This window comes from Homo sapiens, chromosome 19 (genome assembly GCF_000001405.40).
Source record: "Homo sapiens chromosome 19, GRCh38.p14 Primary Assembly".
In the NCBI taxonomy this organism is placed as follows: domain Eukaryota; kingdom Metazoa; phylum Chordata; class Mammalia; order Primates; family Hominidae; genus Homo; species Homo sapiens.
This window is the reverse complement of record NC_000019.10, coordinates 39,788,596-39,809,580: the sequence shown is the minus strand read 5'-3', so window position 1 is coordinate 39,809,580 and position 20,985 is coordinate 39,788,596. Positions and strand designations below refer to the sequence as shown.

Sequence of the window (20,985 nt, the reverse complement as noted above, 5' to 3'; positions counted from 1 at the left end):
TGACTAGGCTCAGCTGGGCGGTTCTCATGCCATTGCAGTTGGATATCAGCTGGGACCACAGTTATCTAAAGGCCCCACTCTGAAGGTCAAGATGGCTCACTCACATGGCTGGAAGCTGATGCTGGCTGTGGCCTGGAATGCCAGACATAACCTCTCCAGGTGACTTGGGCCTCTCACAGTGTGATGACTGGGTTCCGAGAGGGAGCATTCCAAGACTGAGCTTTCCAAAAAGCTCAATCAGAAGCCACACATCTTATGCTCTAGCCTCGGAAGTCCCAGAATGCCACTTCCTCTGAATTATATTGGTCAAGTAAGTCACTAAGGGCAACCTGGATTCAAGCCAAGGTATGCCAACCATCCCTTGATGGGAGGAGCAGTATGTGTGCCCCGCCAGGGATCTATTTTTTTTTTTTAACAGTCACTGCAACCTCCACCTCCTGGGTTCAAGCGATTCTCGTGTCTCAGCCTCCCAAGTAGCTGGGATTACAGGTGCCCGCCACCACACCCAGCTAATTTTTGTATTTTTAGTAGAGATAGGGTTTTACCATGTTGGTCAGGCTGGCCTCGAACTCCTGACCTCAGGTGATCCACCTGCCTTGGCCTCCCAAAGTGCTGGGATTAGAGGCATAAGCCACCGCGCCCGGCCTTCACCAAGTGTCTATTTACGCTGACTTTTTGCAGTCAGTTATGACTCATCACCAAGAACTACCTAGCACCAAACCCCTTCTTTTCTTGCTTCTCTTTCTCTCCACGGTGCCACCCCCTCTCCAGGGCTCTTGGCTGCAATCTTCATCTGGCATCAAGCTTTCTGATGGGAGGGCCAGAAGTGGCTTAAGTTTCATGTTTTTTTTTACTATATCCTGACTTTTTCTCTGATGTCCTCTAGCTTTGAAAATTTTACCTGTTTTTTTCTTAAGTAAGCTTTTCAAAATTATTTTTAATTTTTCCATTTTTGTGGGTACATAGTAGGTGTACATATTTTTGGGGTCCAGGAGATATTTTGGTATAGGTGTGTGTGTAATAATCACATCAGGGTACATGGGGCATCCATCACCTCAAGCATTCATCATTTCTTTGTGTTATGAACACTCCAATTGTACTCCCTCAGTTATTCTAAAATGTACAACAAATCAGTTCTGACTGTAGTCACCCTGTTGTGTTATCAAATACTAGATACTCATTTTGTCGAACTGTATTTTTGTACCCATTAACTATCTCCACTTCCTCTCCCCTCTACTACCTTTCCCAGCCTGTGGCAGCTATCCTTCTACTCTCTATCTCCATGAGTTCAGTTGTTACATTTTAGCTCCCACAAATGAGTTAAAATATGTCAAGTTTGCCTTTCTGTGCCTGGCTTCTGTCACTTAATATAATGTCCTCCAGTTCTATCCATGTCATTGCAAATGACAGGATCTCATTCTTGTTTATGGCTGAATAGTACTCCATTGTGTATATGCACCACGTTTTCTTTATCCATTCATCTGTTATGGACACTTAGGTTGATTCCAAATTTGGGCGCTTGTAAACAATGATGCAACAAACATGGGAGTGGAGATGTCTCTTCCATATACTGATTTTCTTTCTTGTGGATATATACCTAGCAGTGGGATTCTGCCAGGATCATATGGTAGTTCTATTTTCAGTTTTTCTTTTTCTTTTTCTTTTTTTTTTTTTTTTTGAGATGGAATCTCGCTCTGTTGCCTGGCTGTAGTGCCGTGGTGCGATCTCTGTTCACTGCAACTTCTATCTCCATGGTTCAAGCAATTCCCCTGCCTCAGCCCCCGGAGTAGCTGGGATTACAGGCACACACCACCATGCCCAGCTAATTTTTTTGTGTTTTTAGTAGAGACGGGGTTTCACCATGTTAGCCAGACTGGTCTTAAACTCCTGACCTCAGGCAACCCACTCGCCTCAGCCTCCCAAAGTGCTGGGATTACAGGCATGAGCCACTGCGCCCAGCTATTTTCACTTTTTCTGAGGAACGTCTATACTGTTCTCCGTAGTAGCTGTACTGATTTACATTCTCACCAACTGTGTACGAGGGTTCCTTTTTCTCCACCTCCTCACTAGCATTTGTTATTGCCTGTCTTTGGGATGAAAGCCATTTTACTTGGGGTGAGATGATATTGTAATTCTGATTTGCATTTCTCTGATGATCAGTTATGTTGAGCACCTTTTCATGTGCCTGTTTGCCATTTGTATGTCTTCTTTTGAGAAATGTCTATTCAGATCTTTTGGCCATTTTTAAATAAGTTTATAAGTTTTTTTTTCTTATTGAGTTGTTTGAGCTCCTTTTATATTCTGGTTATTAATCCCTTGTCAGATGGAGAGTTTGCAAATATTTTCTCCCATTCTGTAATACATGTTTGGTGTACAATTGAATACATTTTCACATCTCATTCAGTGGCTGGGATACTGAGGTGAGTAAGACAGATTGTTACCTGTCCTTGTGGAATTTGTGGTCATGGTAATAGTCTCTGAAGATGGTCCTGGTTTTCTGGGGGTTTTCAAGACAAACATTTTAGGTGCAGGAAAATATTAGAAAGTCTATTTACAACCACTTTTTTTTTTTTGATATGGAGTCTTACTCTGTTGCCCAGGCTGGAGTGCAGTGGCACCGTCTCGGCTCACTGCCACCTCCGCTTCCTGGGTTCAAGAGATTCTCCTGCATCAGCCTCCTGAGTAGCTGGGAATACAGCAGCGTGCCACCACAAGCGGCTAATTTTTTTTGTATTTTTAGTAGAGACAGGGTTTCACCATGTTGGTCAGGCTGGTCTCAGACTCCTGACCTCGTGATCTGTCCGCCTCGGCCTCCTAAAGTGCTGGGATTACAGGCGTGAGTACAACCAATTTTGTCTCATCCTTTAAGCATTTCTGTCTTAGCGCATGTTTTATATTGTGCCTATTAATACTGTACAGTTTGTAAATTACCACTGTATCTGTATATATGTACACGCACACATACATACAGCGGAGATGCAGCTCATGGATGTGATAAAAAATCTTTGAGGACGGCCGGGCGCGGTGACTCACGCCTGTAATCCCAGCATTTTGGGAGGCCGAGGCGGGCAGATCACCTGACGTTAGGAGTTCGAGAACAGCCATGGTCAACATGGTGAAACCCCGTCTCTACTAAAAATACAAAAAATTGGCCAGGTGTGTTGGTGGGCACCTGTAATCCCAGCTACTTGGGAAGGCTGAGGCAGGAGAATTGCTTGAGCCTGGGAGGCAGAGGTTGCAGTGAGCTGAGATCCGCCATTGCACTTCAGCCTGGGCAACAAGAGTGAAACTCTGCCTCAAAAAAAAAAAAAAAAAAAAATTGAGGACTTCTGTCCTAGAGTGGAGGGTAGACACATAACCTGGACAATTTAAGGTAAGGTAATATTTACTATAATAGAGGTATCACTAGGCCTCATGGAGCTGAGAGAGCAGAGGTTATTGAGGGAGTGTAGGATGTCATTAGTGGTTTTGTGAAGGAGAGGACAGTAAAGCTAAGATTTGAAGGAATTAATGGAAGTCTGGAACTCTGGAAATGACATTGTGGTGTAGTTTAAAAATTAGGCAACTGGGTTGGGCACAGTGGCTCACACCTGTAATCCCAACACTTTGGGAGGCCGAGGTGGGCAGATCACTTGAGGCCAGGAATTCGAGACCAGCTTGACCAACATGGTGAAACCCCCTCTTTACTAAAAATACAAAAGTTTGCCAGACGTGGTGGTGCACACCTGTAGTCCCAGCTACTCGGGAGGCTGAGGCACGAGAATGGCTTGAACCTGCGAGGCGGATGTTGCAGTGAGCTGAGATTGCACCACTGCACTCCAGCCTGGGCAACAGAGCAAGACCCTGTCTCAAAAAGAAAAAAATTATGCAACTGGCTGTGAGCAGCATGCAGATTTAAAAAACACAGCACTAATAGCCCCCCAGAATCCCCCGCATGCCTTCCTTCCAGTCATTGCCTCCCTGTGGCATATTATTTTACAAAAAGGACGGTGACAATCAATGTCTCCCATTCCCCCTGCTCTTCTGATCATGTACCACTCCCATTCCAAGAGCTGGAGTCTGTAACCACTCCTCTTGATCCTAGGCATCAAGACAACCAGGAGAGTATGGTAGAAATGACACTATGTGACTTCTGAGGCCAGGTCACAAAAAGGCAACACAGCTTCTGCCTGGTTCTCTTTCTTGAAATGCTCACCCTTGGAAACAAATTGGTATGGAAGGAAGCCCAGGCCGCATGGATGGTTCACATGAGTGTATTCTGGCCAGCAGCCAGCATCAACTGCCAGACATGTGTGTGAGGAAGCCTTCGAGATGACCCCAGCTCCCGTCACTATCTGACTATAGCCACGCGAGAGACCCCAAGAGAAAGCCTGAAGTGCAGTGACACTATCATAGCTCACTGCAGCCTCAAATTCCTTGGCTCAAGCAATCCTCCCACCTCAGCCTCCCTAGCAGCTGGGACTACAGGCATGTGCCACCACACCCGCTAAATTAAAAAAAAAAATTTTTTTTTTTTGAGACAGAGTTTCATTCTTGTGGCCCAGGGTGGAGTGCAGTGGCACAATCTCAGCTCACTACAACCTCTGTCTCCCAGGTTCAAGCAATTCTCCCACCTCAGCCTCCTGAGTAGCTGGGATTATAGGCACCTGCCACCACGCCCAGCTAATTTTTTATATTTTTAGTAGAGATGGGGTTTCACCATGTTGGCTAGGCTGGTCTCGAACTCCTGACCTCAAATGATCCACCTGCCTCGGCCTCCCAAAGTGCTGGGATTACAGGTGTGAGCCACCATGCCTGGCCTTTTTTTTTTTTTTTTTTTTTTTTTTTTGTAGAGACGGGGTCTCACTATGTTGCCCAGGCTGGTCTTGAACCTCAAGTGATCCTCCCACCTTGGGCTCCCAAAGTGCTGGGATTACAGGTGTGAGCCACAGCACCTGGCCTGGGTTTTCCCTTTGATCATGATCTCTGTGCTTGGGCCCATCCTTTGAGAGTTTAATGTTGAACACATTTTGTCCTTTGAGGATGGTGTAGTGGACATTGGTTATATTTGCCTGCTCAACATTCATTTCCTTTTTTGGCCCCAGCACCCGATTCTTCTACCCTACTCTTGATCTGTGTGCTTTTAGTGCAGCTCAGCCCACTTTCTGCTCTTTAGAGGTGAGCCCATAACCCAGGCCTAGCTAATAAGAACATTACATTTCCTTGACCACAATGATTGTTCAGAAATGCGCCTGTGATCCATGTCTGGCCAATGACAGCCAGCGTGTACTTCTGATGGGATAATAGGAAGGGGTACTTGGGGGTTTCTACCTGGTGGAATCTAAGGCCAGAGTTGCTGGGGGCCATTGTGAGGGGAGAATGAAGACAACAGAATGAAGGCAGAGAGGAAAGCTGAGCTGAGAGATGGAGAGAAAAAGAGGGAATCCTAACTGTTAATACCTCCTGGATCCTTAGGTCCAGCTGTGCCTAGAGGCAGACTTAGGCTGTTTCAAGTGGCCTATAGATACCATTTTTGCTTAAGACAATTAGAACAGGGTTTTCTGTCATTTGTAGCCAAAAGAGTCCCGGCAAGGGGCTCTGCACATGGATTTTCTCAAAAAGCCTCAATCAACATTTCCATTTGCTGGACTAAATCCTCAGGTGGGGAAGGTGGTAAAACATGGCACAATGGTTCTCCTAGAGTGAAATTGGACCAGGAGCCTCCGAATCATCTGGCCTTGTGAGAAATGCAAATTCTCAGCCCCAATTCTAGTGAATCACAGACTCTACCAAGGGGTTCCAGCAGGAGTGTTTTCAGAAGCCCCCCAGGAGTTGTGTGCTAAGGTCTGAGCAACACTGCAGTAGAGCCCAGTGGTGAAGGAAGAGCACATGCTCTTGAGGTTCAGATTGCATCTCTCCCTCTGTCTGGCTCTCTGATTTTAGGTAAGTTACATAAATTATCCTGTCTCACAGCTCCCATCTGTAAAATGGTTCACCTTCTATTTCATGATGCCATTATGTGGAATATTCAGTTAATAGAGGCAAACACTCAGAATAGCGCCTGGTACATAGTCCACGCTCAATTAAAGTTAGATTTATGGCTCTCAGAATTTATCCAACATTGGAAAAGCCACCTTGGAGGGCTTCTTAAAACAGGGATTACTGGTCCCTCCCTGTGCCTTAGAGTTTCTGATTCTTACCAAGGGGGGGCCTGAGAATGTGCACTTCTAACCAGCTCCCTGGTCAAGCTGATGCTGCTGGTCTGGGGATCTGGCTTTGAGAACCACTGAGTTAGATATTTCTGTTATTGATCTCCAACTCCTCTCTGGTGGTTCGTCAGTTACCTCAGGTGCTCTGGAATCGCTCTTTCCGCTGAGTCAGGCCTCTGTCTCCTCCTCTCCCTCCCCTCTGGCATCAGTTTTGATAGTTGGATTCCTCATGGCTGGTAATTGGAGCTCTGAGCCTGGCTTTCCGCTGAGAGTAGCCCCAGCCTCCACCTGTTCAGGGCACCTGATTGATGGTTCCTTCAGTTGCAAGTGTTCCTTTTTTGGCAGCCTTCAGAACTGTCTCCAGCTTTCTTATATAAGCAGATGTCTTTCCTCCTAAACTCTGGGAGGCTGCAGTTGCCACATCACTTCTGACACTGTGGCTGCTCATTCCAGTCCTCATGCAACCCCCATCGCAGGCATTTCTTTGCCTCACTAATACAAATGGTTTTAAATGCAGGGCCAATTAAACCTCCTCCAACAAACAGCTCTGTAACTTGGCACTGTTGGCTGGAGCAAAAAGGTCAGTGTGACTAGAGGTGACAGGAGAGAGGGAGAATGGCAGGAGATCAGGTCCAAGATAGGCAGAAGATGGTTTGTACAAGGCTTTATATATCATGGAACGAGCTAGGACTTTATCCTAATAGTGGTAAAAATTTTTTAATCATTTTAAAGAATTGTGAAATATAGCATATATGTGTATACCTATACACATACACACGTGCACATTTGTACATATAAATAGAGTCAAAAAATTATACAGTGAACACACATGTAGCCATCACATAGCTAAGAAATGGGACATTACCAGTCAAAGACATCTCTAGCATTTGTGGATCCTGGACAAAGAGTACAAATGGAGGCGCCCTATCTATAGCTTACTCCCTTCTCTTGCCTTCCTTGTTGATGTCCTGTACCCCTAAGGAGTTATTCATGCATGTATGTGGATACCAAGCCTGCACATTGGAGCTTGGTGCATGTACCCCACATCACCTCTTGCCTACCCCTTGGGTTTGGGGTGTGCGTACCAGCATGATCTGTTCTGGGTGTCAGGTAGAAGATGGACTAGGAAGAGGCCCAAACAGTTGCTGGAAGCAGGTTTGGGAACATTTGAGTAGGGAATTCTAAGGAATTGGTACTCTGAGCATGGCCTACAATTGCATTGTTCAAGAAGATAGCCACTTATCTTCTTGAAGTTAAATATGGCTATTTATGCTTAATCGAAATGAAATAAAATTTAAAATTCACTTTCTTAGTTACACTAGCCACATTGCAAGTGCTCAATAGCCACATGTGGCTAGTGGCTATTACATTGGACAGGGCAGATATAAACATTTCTATCACTACAGGTGTTTTACTGGACAATGCTAGTTAGGAAAGAGAAGTGCTATGGGTTCTGGAAGAAACGAAATGTTACCCTTACACTGGAAAAAAAGCGGGCAACAGAAACGTCCAGTGAAAGCAACCAGATGTCAGACTGAGCACACAAAGCCTTCAAAGTAGCCATTATAAATCTGTTCAAATAACTAAAGGAAACCCATTTTTTTAAAAAAGGAAAGGAAAGGTATGGTCAAATAAAAAATATCGCTAAAAAGTTAGACATTATAAAATAAAACCAAATGGAAATCGAGAGCTAAAAGTATAATAACCGAAATGAAAAAAATATACTAGAGAAGCTCAATAGTAGATTTGAATTGACAGAAGAATTAGCAAACTTGAAAGTAGAAATAAGGCTGGGTGTGGTGGCTCACGCCTGTAATCCCAGCACTTTGGGAGGCCAAAGCAGGCGGATCATGAGGTCTGGAGATCGAGGCCATCCTGGCTAACATGGTGAAACCCCACCTCTACTAAAAATACAAAACTTAGCCAGGCATGGTGGCACACGTGTAGTCCCAGCTACTCAGGGGGCTGAGGCAGGAGAATCACTTGAACGCAGTGAGCCGAGATTGCGCCACTGCACTCTAGCCTGGGTGACAGAGCGAGACTCCATCTCAAAAAAAAAAAAAAAAAAAAAAGAAAAAGAAAAGAAAATAGAAATAATGCAATCCAAAGAATGGGGGGAAAGAACAAAGATGAAAAAATAAGTAGAGCCCTAGAGAAATGTGGAACACCATTAAGCAAAACAATAGGAATGGCAGAAGGAGAGGAAAGAGAAAGAAACAGAAAAATTGTTCTAATAAACAGTGGCTTAAAACTTCCTAAGTTTATTGAAAAACAATAAAATACCTATCCAAGAAGCTGAATGAACTTCAAGTAGAATGAACACAGACACACACACACACAGACACATCTTGGTAAGAATACTGACAGCCAAGGACAAGGAAAAAAATTGAAAGCAGAAAAAAGAAAATGCCTTGTCACTTACAAGGGAACCCCCAGTAAGAGTAACAGCTTCTTCTCACGATAAAATTAACACGCTTGTAATAGGGCTGGCACTTTGGGAGGCTGAGGCAGGTGGATCACCTGAGGTTGGGAGTTCGAGACCAGCCTGACCAACATGGAGAAACCCCATCTCTACTAAAAATACAAAATTAGCTGGGCGTGGTGGCGCATGCCTGTAATCCCAGCTACGAGGGAGGCTGAGGCAGGAGAATCGCTTGAACTCGGGAGGCAGAGGTTGCAGTGAGCCGAGATCGCGCCATTGCGCTCCAGCCTGCGCAATAAGAGTGAAACTCGGTCTCAAAAAAAAAAAGTGTATAAAAAAATAATTAAAGCAGTGCATTCCTGGGTTTATAATGTTTGATGCAATATGTATAACATCTAACAAAAAGTGGGAAAAGGCAATAGAGCTTCATAGGAACAATGTTTCTATATCTCACTAGGATTAAGTTAGTATAAATCTGAAGCTCATTTTGATAAGATGTATATGATAAGCCGTAGAGCAACCACGGAGGAAATAATTCAGAAATTAGTGAAAAAATCAGTAAAGAAATTAAAATCCTATATTAGAAAACTTTCACTTAATATAAAAGAAAACATAAAGGAGGAATAGAAGAGCAAAAAAGACATAAGACATAGAAAAGAAAAAGTGAAATGGCAAATGTAAATCTAACTATATCATTAATAACTTTAAAAGTGAATGGATTGAATAAATCAAAAGGCAGAGACTTTCAGACTGTATTAAAAAACAATATCCAATGATATTCTGTGTACAGAAGACAAACTTTAGATTCAAAGATACAAAATATTGAAAGTAATAGAAAGAAAAAAGATATATCATGCAAACAGCAACCACAAGGAAGCTGGAACAGCGATACTAATAATGCAAAATAGACTTTAAAAAACGTTACCAGACATAAGAAATATGTTATGATCTACAGGTCACTGTATCAGGAAGATGTAACAATTATAAACACATAGGCATCCAACAACAGAGCCCCGACATGCATTAAATAAATACTGACAGAAATGAAGAAATACACAATAAGCAACAATATTTGGAGATTTTGATACCCAACTTTAAAAAAATGTTGTAACTATATGAGATGATGAATATATTAATTAGCTTAGTTGTGGTAATCATTTCACAATGTATATCAAAACATCACATTGTACATCTTAAATATATACAATTTTTATTTGTCAGTCATACCTCAAGTCAGGAAAAAAATAACGAATAGAACAATTGGGCAGAAAATCAATAAGGAAATAAAACACTTGAGCAACACTATAAACCAACTAGACCTAGCAGATATCTGTAGAACAGGAGAATTTGTATTCTTCTCAAGTGCACATGGAACACTCTCCAGGATAAACCACATGCTAGGCCATAAACCTTGATAAATTTAAAGGAGTAGAAATACAATGCATACTTTCTGATAACAACATAATGAAATTATATATAAATAAAAGACAGAAATCTGGGGAACTCACAAGTATGTGGAAATTAAACAATGCACTCTCTTTTAAATTTTAATTTAATTTAATTTTACGTTCTGGGATACATGTGCAGGATGTGCAGGTTTTTTACATAGGTAAACCTGAGCCAAGGTGGTTTGCTGCACCTGTTAGCCCATCACCTAGGTATTAAGCCCCGCATGCATTACATTTGCTATCCAACCTGATGCTCTCCCTTCACCCACCCCCAGGCCCCAATGTGTGTTGTTCCCCTCCCTGTGTCCATATGTTCTCATAAACAATGCACTTTTAAATAACCAAGAGGTCAAAGAAGAAATTAAAAGGGACTTAGAAAATACTTTGATATAAATGAAAATGAAGACATAATATACCTTATAACTTGTAGGATACAGCAAAAACAGTGCTTAAAAGAAATCTGATAGATGTATATGCCTATATTAAGGAAGTGATTGAAAATAACCTAAATTTTCACCTTAAGACACTGAAAAAGAAGAGCAAGCTACACATAAAGCAAGTAGAAAAAGAAAATAATAAAAGATTGGAGCAGAAATAAGTGAAATAGAGAATAGAAAAACAATAGAGAAAATCAACCAAACCAAGAGTTGACTCTTTTACAAACCAAAATATTGGCAAAACATTGGCTAGATATACCAGGAAAAAATAGCAGACTGGATTACTAGAATCAAAAATGAAAAAGGGACTTCGAAATGTACAATAAATTATTATTTATTATAATTACCATTTTATGCAATAGATTACTAAAGTTTATTCTTCCTGTCTAACTGAAACTGTACCTTTTGATCAACAGTTTCCCTTTCCCCATCCATCTTCCTCCCCAGCCTCTGGTAATCACCATTTTACTCTCCACTTCTGTGAGTTTGACTCTTTTAGATTCCATGTATCTCACATATATATGGAGTCTATTTGTCTTTCTGTGCCTGGCTTATTTCACTTATCATAAATGTCATCATGAAAAATAAGTATGTGAGGTGACAGATTTATTAATTAGTTTTATTTAACCATTTAACAATATAAACATAGCAAAACATCACATTGTACCCCATAAATATATATAATTACTATTTTTTCAATTAAAATAAAATTTAAATTTTTAAAAAAAGAAATGAAAGAGGAGACATTACTACCAACCTTATAGAAATAAATGCTGTGAGCAACTATTTGCTAATAAACTAGATACTTGAGATGAAAAACAAATTTCTAGAAAGACACAAACTACTGAAACTGAGTCTAAGAGAAATAGGACATCTACATAAATCTATAGCAAGCAAAGAAAGTGAATTAATAATATAAAAACTACCCACAAAGAAAACCCTAGGCCCTTCACCACTGACCCTACCAAACATTTGAAGAAGAATTAATATCAGTTCTTCACAAAGGTTTCCAATAAATAGAAGAGGGAACACTGCCCAACTCATTCTTAAGGCCAGTATTACCCTGGTACCAAGACCAAGCAAAGACACCACAAGAAACCTACAGCCCAATATCTTTTTACCAATACAGATGCAAAAATCCTCAAATAAATACTAGCAAATGGAATCCAGTAATATATAAAAAGAAGTACGTACCATGAAAAATGAGCTTTATCACAGGATGAATGCAAGATTGGTTTTACATCCCCAAATCAATTAATATAGTATATCCTATCAGTTGAATACAAAACAAAAACCACATGATCATCTCAATAGATACAAAACAAGCATTTAGCAAAATCCCATTCATGGTAAAAACTCTCAGGAAGTTAACAATAGAAGAGAACTTCCCCAACCTGACACTGGGGCCTCTACGAAGCACATCTAACATCATACTTAGTGAAAACAGACTGGATGCTTTCCCCCGAAGATCAGGAACAAGGCAAAGGTGTCTGCTTCCACCACTTCACCATTGTACTGGAGGTTCTAGTCAGGATAGGCATGAAAGGAAAAAAAAAAAAAAAAAGCATCCATCCAGATTGAAAGGAAGAAGTAAACTCTTTGCAGATGACATGATCTTGTATATAGAAAAATCCTAAGAAGTCCAGCAAATAACTGTTAGAACTATTGAACAAGTTCAGCAAGGTTGCAGGATACCAGGTCAATATATAAAAATCAATTGTATTTCCATATGCTTGCAATGAATAATCTGAAAACGAAATCAAGAAAACAATTCCATTTACAATAGCATCAAAACCAATAAAAAATTCGGAATAAATTTAGCAAAAGAAATGCAAAACTTATACTCTAAAAATGGTGAGATTTTGTTGAAAGAAATGAAAGAGGATTTAAATAAATGGAAAAAAAATCTCTCTTGTATATGGATCAGAAGCCTTGTATTGTTAAAATGGCAATACTCCCTAAATTGATCTACAGGTTCAGTGGAATCCCTGTCAGAATCTCAGCTGACTTTGTAGAAATTGGCAAGCTGAATGTACAATTCATATGGAATCGCAAGGGACCCAGAATAACCAATATAATCTTGAAAAAGAAAAGCAAAGTAGGACTGGCACTTCCCAACTTCAAAATTTACTGAAATTACTTTTGTACCAACCTAAGGCAAAAGTAATCAAGACAGTGTGGTACAGACATGAAGACAGACATATAGATCAAAAGGATAGAAGTAGAATCTAGAAATAAAACCACGTGTCTACGGCCAACTGACTTTCCACTAGGTTGCCAAGATTACTCAGTGGGGAAGTGATAGTCCTGTTAACAAATGGTTCTGGGACAACTGGATGGCCACATACAAAAGAATAAAGTTGGGCTCTTATCTCAAGTTTGTGTCATTTTAAAAAAAACTTCATTGAGATGCAATTCACAAACCATAACATTTACCCATTTAGTATACAATTCAATAGTTTTTCATATATTCACAGATATGGACAACAATCACCATGATCAATTTTAGATTTTCATCCCCTCCAAAAGAAACCTTATGTCTTCAGCTATCATCCCCTGTCACTCCATCCTCCCCATCCCTAAGCCACCATCTACTTTCTCTCTATAGGGATGGGAGAGCTGCTGTCACAAACCAAGGAACACGTGGAGCCACCAGAAACTGGGGGAGGCAAGAAAGGATCCTCTCCTAGAGCCTTTAGAGGGGGTGCAGCCCTGCCAACACCTTGATTCCTGACTTCTACCCTCCCCTCCAGATTTGCAAGACAATAAATTTCTGTTGTTTAAACCACCCAGCTTGTGGTCCTGTAATTGCAGCAGCCCCAAGTTAACACAGTCACTTTCTACCCTCAGTTAGAAATCAGCTTGTTATGCCTCTTACCACAGGGGATACAAATTCAACCCATCAGTAGTCCTTCCTAGCTAATACCAGCTCTCTAAGGTACCTGTGTCTGAGCTACTAACACACACACCCCTAACCATTATGGTGAGTTTTCCTATAGCAATTCCTCGATCCTCTCATGAGAGCTGACCACTCTGGTTTAACAGAAATGTTTTAGAACTTTTGTATCTCAAAGTGAAGGAGTGTGGCTGTCAATCTGTTTACTCCCAGAATACCCACATCCCTTAAGATTTTCCCTTCCTGGGTTCTTAGCAATTGGGGTAAACACTTGCTTTACATGTGTGTGACTGAAGAGTTATTCTAGTGACTTTTTCAGAAGACAGAAGATCTGTTCCAAGAAGGCTAGTCATTTCTGCTATCCAGAAACAACTAGCTGGAATCCTTAACAATCTCTTTCCAATAAAGTAAAACATTAAAGTGACAAGGTTTTTTTTTTTTTTTTTTTTTTTTTTTTTTTTTGAGACGAAGTCTCGCTCTGTCGCCCAGAGACTGGAGTGCAGTGGCGCGATCTCCGCTCACTGCAAGCTCAGCCTCCCGGGTTCACGCCATTCTCCTGCCTCAGCCTCCCGAGTAGCTGGGACTGCAGGCGCCTGCTACCACGCCCGGCTATTTTTTTGTATTTTTAGTAGAGATGGGGTTTCACCGTGGTCTCGATCTCCTGACCTCGTGATCCGCCCGCCTTGGCCTCCCAAAGTGCTGGGATTACAGGCGTGAGCCACCGCGCCCGGGCCACATTTTAATTTATTTAATTATCATGACGTTTTTATTTAGTTATCACAACAACTTTATGATGTAGACATTAACTGTTATTATCTCAATTTCCCAGATGAGGAAACCGAAGCTCAGAGAGGTGAATCACTTGCTCAAATTCATCCAGGTAGAAGTTGCAGAGATGGGACTCTCATTTAGGCTAACCTCTTGGTCCAGGGCCTTAACCACAACTGTGTCATCTCAGGTGGAGGAAAGAGAGAAGTGAAGCGCCTGGGGGCTGGTTGCAGAGAGGAAGTGGCTAACGTTACCCCAGCACTTCTTGACACTTACACTGAGACATGCAGCAGAAGGGACCAGTTTCCAGTCACTCTTCCCGCTTCCCACTGAAGTCACCCTCCAGGTCCCCCTTTGCTTTAACCAAGAGGCTTCAAACTGTCAAAGGAGAAGGCATTATAAAAGTCAAGCCAGGCGTGGTGGCTCACAGCTGGAATCCCAGCTACTCAGGAGGCTGAGGAGGGAGGATGGCTTGCAGCCAGGAGTTCGAGGCCAGCCTGAGAAACATAATGAGACCTCATTTCCTGAAGAAAAAAAAAAAAAAGAGAGCAGGTGGGGTGGTATGATGTTCTCTGAACATCTCTTCCCTGGGACTCCTCTCTTGGCACCCTTTCCCCTGAGCTTTAGAAGAGTGCCCAATTTTTTTGTCCATCGAGCAGTGTAATAAACCTACTCTCAAAAATTAAGACAGTTCGGCCGGGCACAGTGACCCATGCCTGTTAATCCCAGCACTTTGGGAGGCAGAGGCGGGTGGATCACGAGGTCAGGTAATCGAGACCATCTTGCCAACATGGTGAAACCCCGTCTCTACCAAAAATACAAAAATTAGCTGGGTGTGGCGGCGCGTGCCTGTAATCCCAGCTATTCGGGAGGCTGAAGTGGGAGAATCACTTGAACCCGGGAGGCGCAGATCGCAGTGAGCCAAGATCACGCCACTGCACTCCAGCCTGGCAACAGAGCGAGACTCTGTCTCAATAAATAAATAAATAAATAAATAAATAAATAAATAAATAAATAAAAATTAAGACAGTTCATTAAGCAGACGTGGAGACGGCCTGGAGTATGATAGGATTTTAGGATTTTTTTTTAAAGGCAGGAGACAAAGTTGTTAATCACAATTTGCCCATTATGTAGACTCTATGTGAATACAGACATGGAGAGGGCCAGGGAAAGAAGGAGACAGTTGCTTTGGGCATTGTAAGAAAACTCACTCTTCAATAGATGCTCTCTCTCTCTCTTTTTTTTTTTTTTTTTTTTGAGACAGAGGAGTCTCCCTCTCTCGCCTAAGCTGGAGTGCAGTGGTGCGATCTCGGCTTACTGCAACCTCCGCCTCCCAGGTTCAAGCGATTCTCCCACCTCAGCCTCCTGAGTAGCTGAGCTGGTATTACAGGCGAGGGCCACCACGCCTGGCTAATTTTTGTATTTTTAGTAGAGACAGGGTTTCACCATGTTGGCCAGAGTGGTGTCGAACTCCTGACCTCAGGTGATCCTCCAGCCTTGGCCTTCCAAAGTGCTGGTATTACAGGTGTGAGCCACCGTGCCCTGCCTTCAATAGATAGTCTTAAACAAAAACCTTAACAAAATAATCAGAGATATTGAGGGTTTTAAAAGAAATCTTTAGCATTTCAAAGGTTTGGACGAGGGGGATTGGATACATTTTTAAAATAAATTTTTTATTTTAGAATGGTTTTAGATTTACAGAAAAATTAAGGAGACAGTACAATTACGATTTGTCGGAATGTATAGCAGAATTTGCCCATAAAACCTTCTAGGACTTTCTTAGATCTTTTACTTCCTTTGTAAGTTCTTTGGTTATTGGTCCATTCAGACTTCCTATTTTTTCGTAGACTAATTGTTGCCATTAAAACTTCCATGAAGAATCTTCCATTTTCATCTTCATTTAAATTTTTAGGTTTAAAAAAAAAAAAAAAGAACCCTCTGCCTCCCCAGGCCCCTGGGGATCCAACCCTCGCTCCTGATTGGACATCAAGGATAAGGGGTGAGGCTTAAGCGCTGAGTGACATATTGAAAGTCGAGCGGGGAACTTGGACAGAACCTCTTGTTAGAAAGCAGGTTGGGGCGGCCGGGTCAACTCGTGTTTCCCGACCAGTTTGTGGACCTAGGAAACAGGGGTCCCTGTGCACAACAGGAGTGCTGCCCACCGGCAGGAGATGGCACAGAGGACCACAGCCTGGCTCAGTTCCCCTGCAAACATCATCCCAAGCGCCCCGCGCGCTTTCATGGGATGTTCGCGGAGCGCCCCCTGGAGCTCAAAGGCTGGTGGTGACCCTGGAGTTAGGCATCTGGGCTGCTTAATACATTCATTTCCCAAACTCTCAGGACATGGCTTAGCCCCAGGCTTCTGGGATTGCTCCCCAGGATCAGTTCCCACTTCCCAGTCAAGTTCCACCACCACGACCCCTTGCTTCACCGGGGGGTGAGATGCAGCTCACCAATTCCTCCGAAGACAGACATCCCTGTTACATGTAGGGAACAGCTTTTGTTGTTGTTGTTGTTTTAAAAAGCTCCCACCACACCTGCCACCAACAATTCTCAATGTTTTATTTTTCTTAAATGTTCATGCAAACAGAATAACAAAGTAAACAACCGTGTACTCACTATTTCACCGCTTAATACAGTCGTTTATTAAATTTCAGAAGTAAGCTATGCTCACCATAAAAAATGCCTAAACATTACGAAAGTCAAAAGCAAAACTCCAGGCTGTGGTCTTATCCTCCAGCTCATAGGGTCCCTTCTAGAGAACGTGGTTGTATTTGCAAATCTGCACTCAGAGGATGGGTGGGTTACAAGAGAGCACTCTATACCAGGGGTCCCCAACACCCCCGCTCCCCACCCCCACAGACGGGTACCCATGGTGGCCTGTTAGGAACCAGACCGCCACAGCAGGAGGTGAGCAGCGGGCCAGCCAGCAAAGCTTCATCTATATTTGCAGCCACTCCCCATCGCTGGCATTACAGCCTGAGCTCCGCCTCCTGTCAGGTCAGCTTGGGCACTAGATTCTCACAGGAGCGCAAACTCTATTGTGAACTGCGCATTCGAGGGATCTAGGTTGCATGCTCCTTATGAGAATCGAATGCCTGATGATCTGTCACTGTCTCCCATCACCCCCAGATGGGACCATCTAGTTGCAGGAAAACAAGTTCAGGGCTCCCATTAGATTTGACATTATGGTGAGTTGTATACTTATTTGATGATATATTATAATGTAATAATAATAGAAATAAAGTGCACAATAAATGTATTATGCTTGAATTTTCCCCAAACAATCCCCCACCCCAACCCACCCACCCCACCGCTGCCGTCTGTGGAAAAATTTTCTTCCACGAAACCAGTTCCTGGTGCCAAAAACATTGGGGACCGCTGCACCTCACAGTTCCGCAGCTGCTACCATCCTGGTTTATCGATACATCTTGAGGCCTCCAGGTCAGCCCCTGCAGCTTTACCTTCTTGTTTATAGCTGCATAGACTTAGATGGTCAGAGAATAGTCCAGTCTCTGTTCCATCCAGCTTTAGAGCCTCAGCGTTTCTTCACATCAGTCACTTACTTATTAATTATTTAAAGGTTCTTGCTTCTTCTTCCTGAAACTAAAGGAGAGGTACCTGATCAAGTTGAATTTTGCAAAGGTGAGTAGTGACTTTTACAGCTAACTCCTGGGATTGGCTGGTGGAACTCAAGGGCTCCAGCCCTCACTAAGTTCTCTTAGGGAATCATTCATTCCTTTAAGATCAAGCTAGACATTTTTTTTTTTTTTTTGAGACAGAGTCTCGCTCTGCCACCCAGGCTGTAGTGCGGTGGCACGATCTTGGCTCACTGCAACCTCTGCCTCCCAGGTTAAAGCGATTCTTCTGTCTCAGCCTCCTGAGTAGCTGGGACTACAGGCGCATGCCACCACACCTGGCTAATTTTTTTTTTTTTTAAGTAGAGACAGGGTTTCATCATATTGGTCAGGCTGGTCTCGAACTCCTGACCTCATGATCTGCCCATCTCTGCCTCCCAAAGTGCTGGGATTACAGACATGAGCCACGGCGCCCGGCCGAGCTAGACATTTTTTTTTTAAAATTAAGACATTATTATTATAATTTTTTTTGAGATGGAGTTTCACTCTTGTTGTCCAGGCTGGAGTGCAATGGTGCGATCTTGGCTCACTGCAACCTCTGCCTCCTAGCATCAAGCGATTCTCCTGCCTCAGCCTCCCAAGTAGCTGGGATTACAGACATGCACCACCATGCCCGGCTAATTTTGTATTTTTAGTAGAGATGGGGTTTCACCATGTTGGTCAGGCTGGTTTGAACTTCTGACCTCAGGTGACCAAACCACCTCAGCCTCCCAAAGTGCTGGGATTACAGGCGTAAGCCACTGCGCCTGGCAATAGACATTATTTTTTGAAGCAGTTTGAGGCTTACAGAAAATTGAGCAGGTAGTACGCAGTTCCCATATACCACTCAGCCCCTAATACCTTTCCCTATCATTTTGTTCTAAATTTATTTGTTTTTTAAAATTGTATGACTTTATCTTGTACAATATAATGTTTTGAAATATGTATACATTGTGGAATGGTTAAATCTAGCTTATTTATTTATTTATTTATTTTTTGAGATGGAGTTTCACTCTTGTTGCCCCAGCTGGAGTGCAATGGCGCAATCTCGGCTCACTGCAACCTCCGCCTCCAGGGTTCAAGTGATTCTCCTGCCTCAACCTCCTGACTAGCTGGGATTACAGGCATGTGACACCATGCCTGGCTAATTTTGTATTTTTAGTAGAGATAGGGTTTCTCCATGTTGGTCAGGCTGGTCTTCGAACTCTCCACCTCAGGTGATCCTCCTGCCTCAGCCTCCCAAAGTGGTGGGATTACAGTTGTGAGCCACTGCACCTGGCCAAATCAGCTAATTTAAAGAAATGTGTTACCTCACATAGTTATCATCTATTTTTTTGTGGTGAGAACACCTAACATCTACTCTCTTAGCATTTTTCAAGAATGCAATATATCACCATTAATTATAGTCATCATGCTGTCCAATAGATCTCTTGAACTTATTCCTTCTATCTAAATGTAATTATGCATCCTTTGACCAGTGTCTTCCCAACTCCCCTTTACCCCCAATGACCCCAGATTCCTTTAACCGCCATTCTACTCTCTACTTCTATGAGGTCCACTTTAAAAAATGTATTTATTTTTTCAATTTTTTTAAATTATTTATTATTTATTTATTTATTTATTTATTGAGACGGAGTTTCCCTCTTGTCGCCCAGGCTGGAGTGCAATGGTGCGATCTTGGCTCACTGCAACCTCTGCCTTCCGGGTTCAAGTGATTCTCTTGCTTTAGCCTCCTGGGTAGCTAGGATTACAGGCGCCCGCCACCATGCCCAGCTAATTTTTTTTTGTATTTTTAGTAGAGATGAGGTTTCACCATGTTGGCCAGGCTGATCTCGAACTCCTGACCTCAGGTGATCCACCCGCCTTGACCTCCCAAAGTGCTGAGATTACAGGCGTGAGCCACTGCGCCCAGCCTTATTTATTTTTATTATTTTATTTCAGTAGGTTTTTGGGGGAACAGGTGGTGTTTGGTTACATGAATAATTTCCTAAGTGGCAATTTCTGAGATTCTGGTGCACCCATCACCCAAGCAGTGTACATTGTACCCAATATGTAGTCTTTTATCCCTCACCTCCATCCCATTCTTTCCCCTGAATCCCCAAAGTCCATTGTGTCATTCTTATGCCTTTGGATCTTCATAGCTTAGCTCCCACTTATGAGTGAGAAAGTATGATGTTTGGTTTTCCATTCCTGAGTTACCTCACTTAAAATAATGGTCTCTAATCTCATCCAGGTTGCTGCAAATGCCATTATTTCATTCCCTTTTTATGGCTGAATAGTATTCCATGGTATGTGCGATATATATATATATATATATCTCACATTTCCTTTATCCACTTGTTGATTGATGGGCATTTGGGCTGGTTCTATATTATTGTAATTGTGAATTGTGTTGCTATAAACATGTGTGTGCAAGTATCTCTTTTGTATAATGACTTATTTTCCTCTAAGTAGATACCCAGTAGTGGGATTGCTGGATCAAATGGTAAATCTACTTTTTGCTCCTTAAGGAATCTCCACTGTTTTCTCCAGTGGTTGTACTAGTTTACATTCCCACCAACGGTGTAAACGTGTTCCCTTTTCACACATGCACAACACCTATTATTTTTTGATTTTTTGATCTTTGATTTTGTTATTTTTTGATTATGGCCATTCTTGCAGGAGTAAGGTGTAAGTAAGGTGTCAGATCCACCTTTTAGGATTCCACATGTGTATGAGATCATGTGGTATTTGTCTTTCTGTGTTTGGTTTATTTCATTTAACATAATGTCCTTTAGGCTCATCTATGTTGCAAATGACAGGATTTCATTTTTTTAAATTATTTTTTAATGGCCAAATAGTACTCCATTGTGTATAAATCACACTTTTTGTTGTTGTTTTTAGATGGAGTCTCGCTCTGTTGCCAGGCTGGAGTGCAGTGGCGTGATCTCGGCTCACTGCAACCTCCGCCTCCTTGGTTCAAGCAATTATCCTGCCTCAGCCTCCCAAGTAGTTGGGACTACAGGTGTGCACCACCACACCCAGCTAATTTTTGTATTTTTAGTAGAGACCAGGTTTCACCATGTTGGCCAGGCTGGTCTTGAACTCTTGACCTCAGGTGCTCCACCCTCCTCGGCCTCCCAAAGTGCTGAGATTACAGGCGTGAGCCACTGTGCCTGGCCTATTATTTTATTAAATACTTTCTTACCCTTTTCTCTCTCTTTGCCTTC

The 20,985-nt window shown here is 42.4% G+C and overlaps 1 long non-coding RNA gene across 1 annotated transcript; it reads left to right on the top strand.

The window, feature by feature from the left end:
* The first annotated feature begins 23 nt into the window (after nucleotides 1–23).
* On the top strand, nucleotides 24–13,283 carry LOC124904719 (uncharacterized). Its single transcript, XR_007067258.1, has 2 exons — nucleotides 24–159; nucleotides 13,104–13,283. It is a non-coding gene; the product is annotated as an uncharacterized LOC124904719 (long non-coding RNA).
* The last annotated feature ends 7,702 nt before the right edge of the window (nucleotides 13,284–20,985 follow it).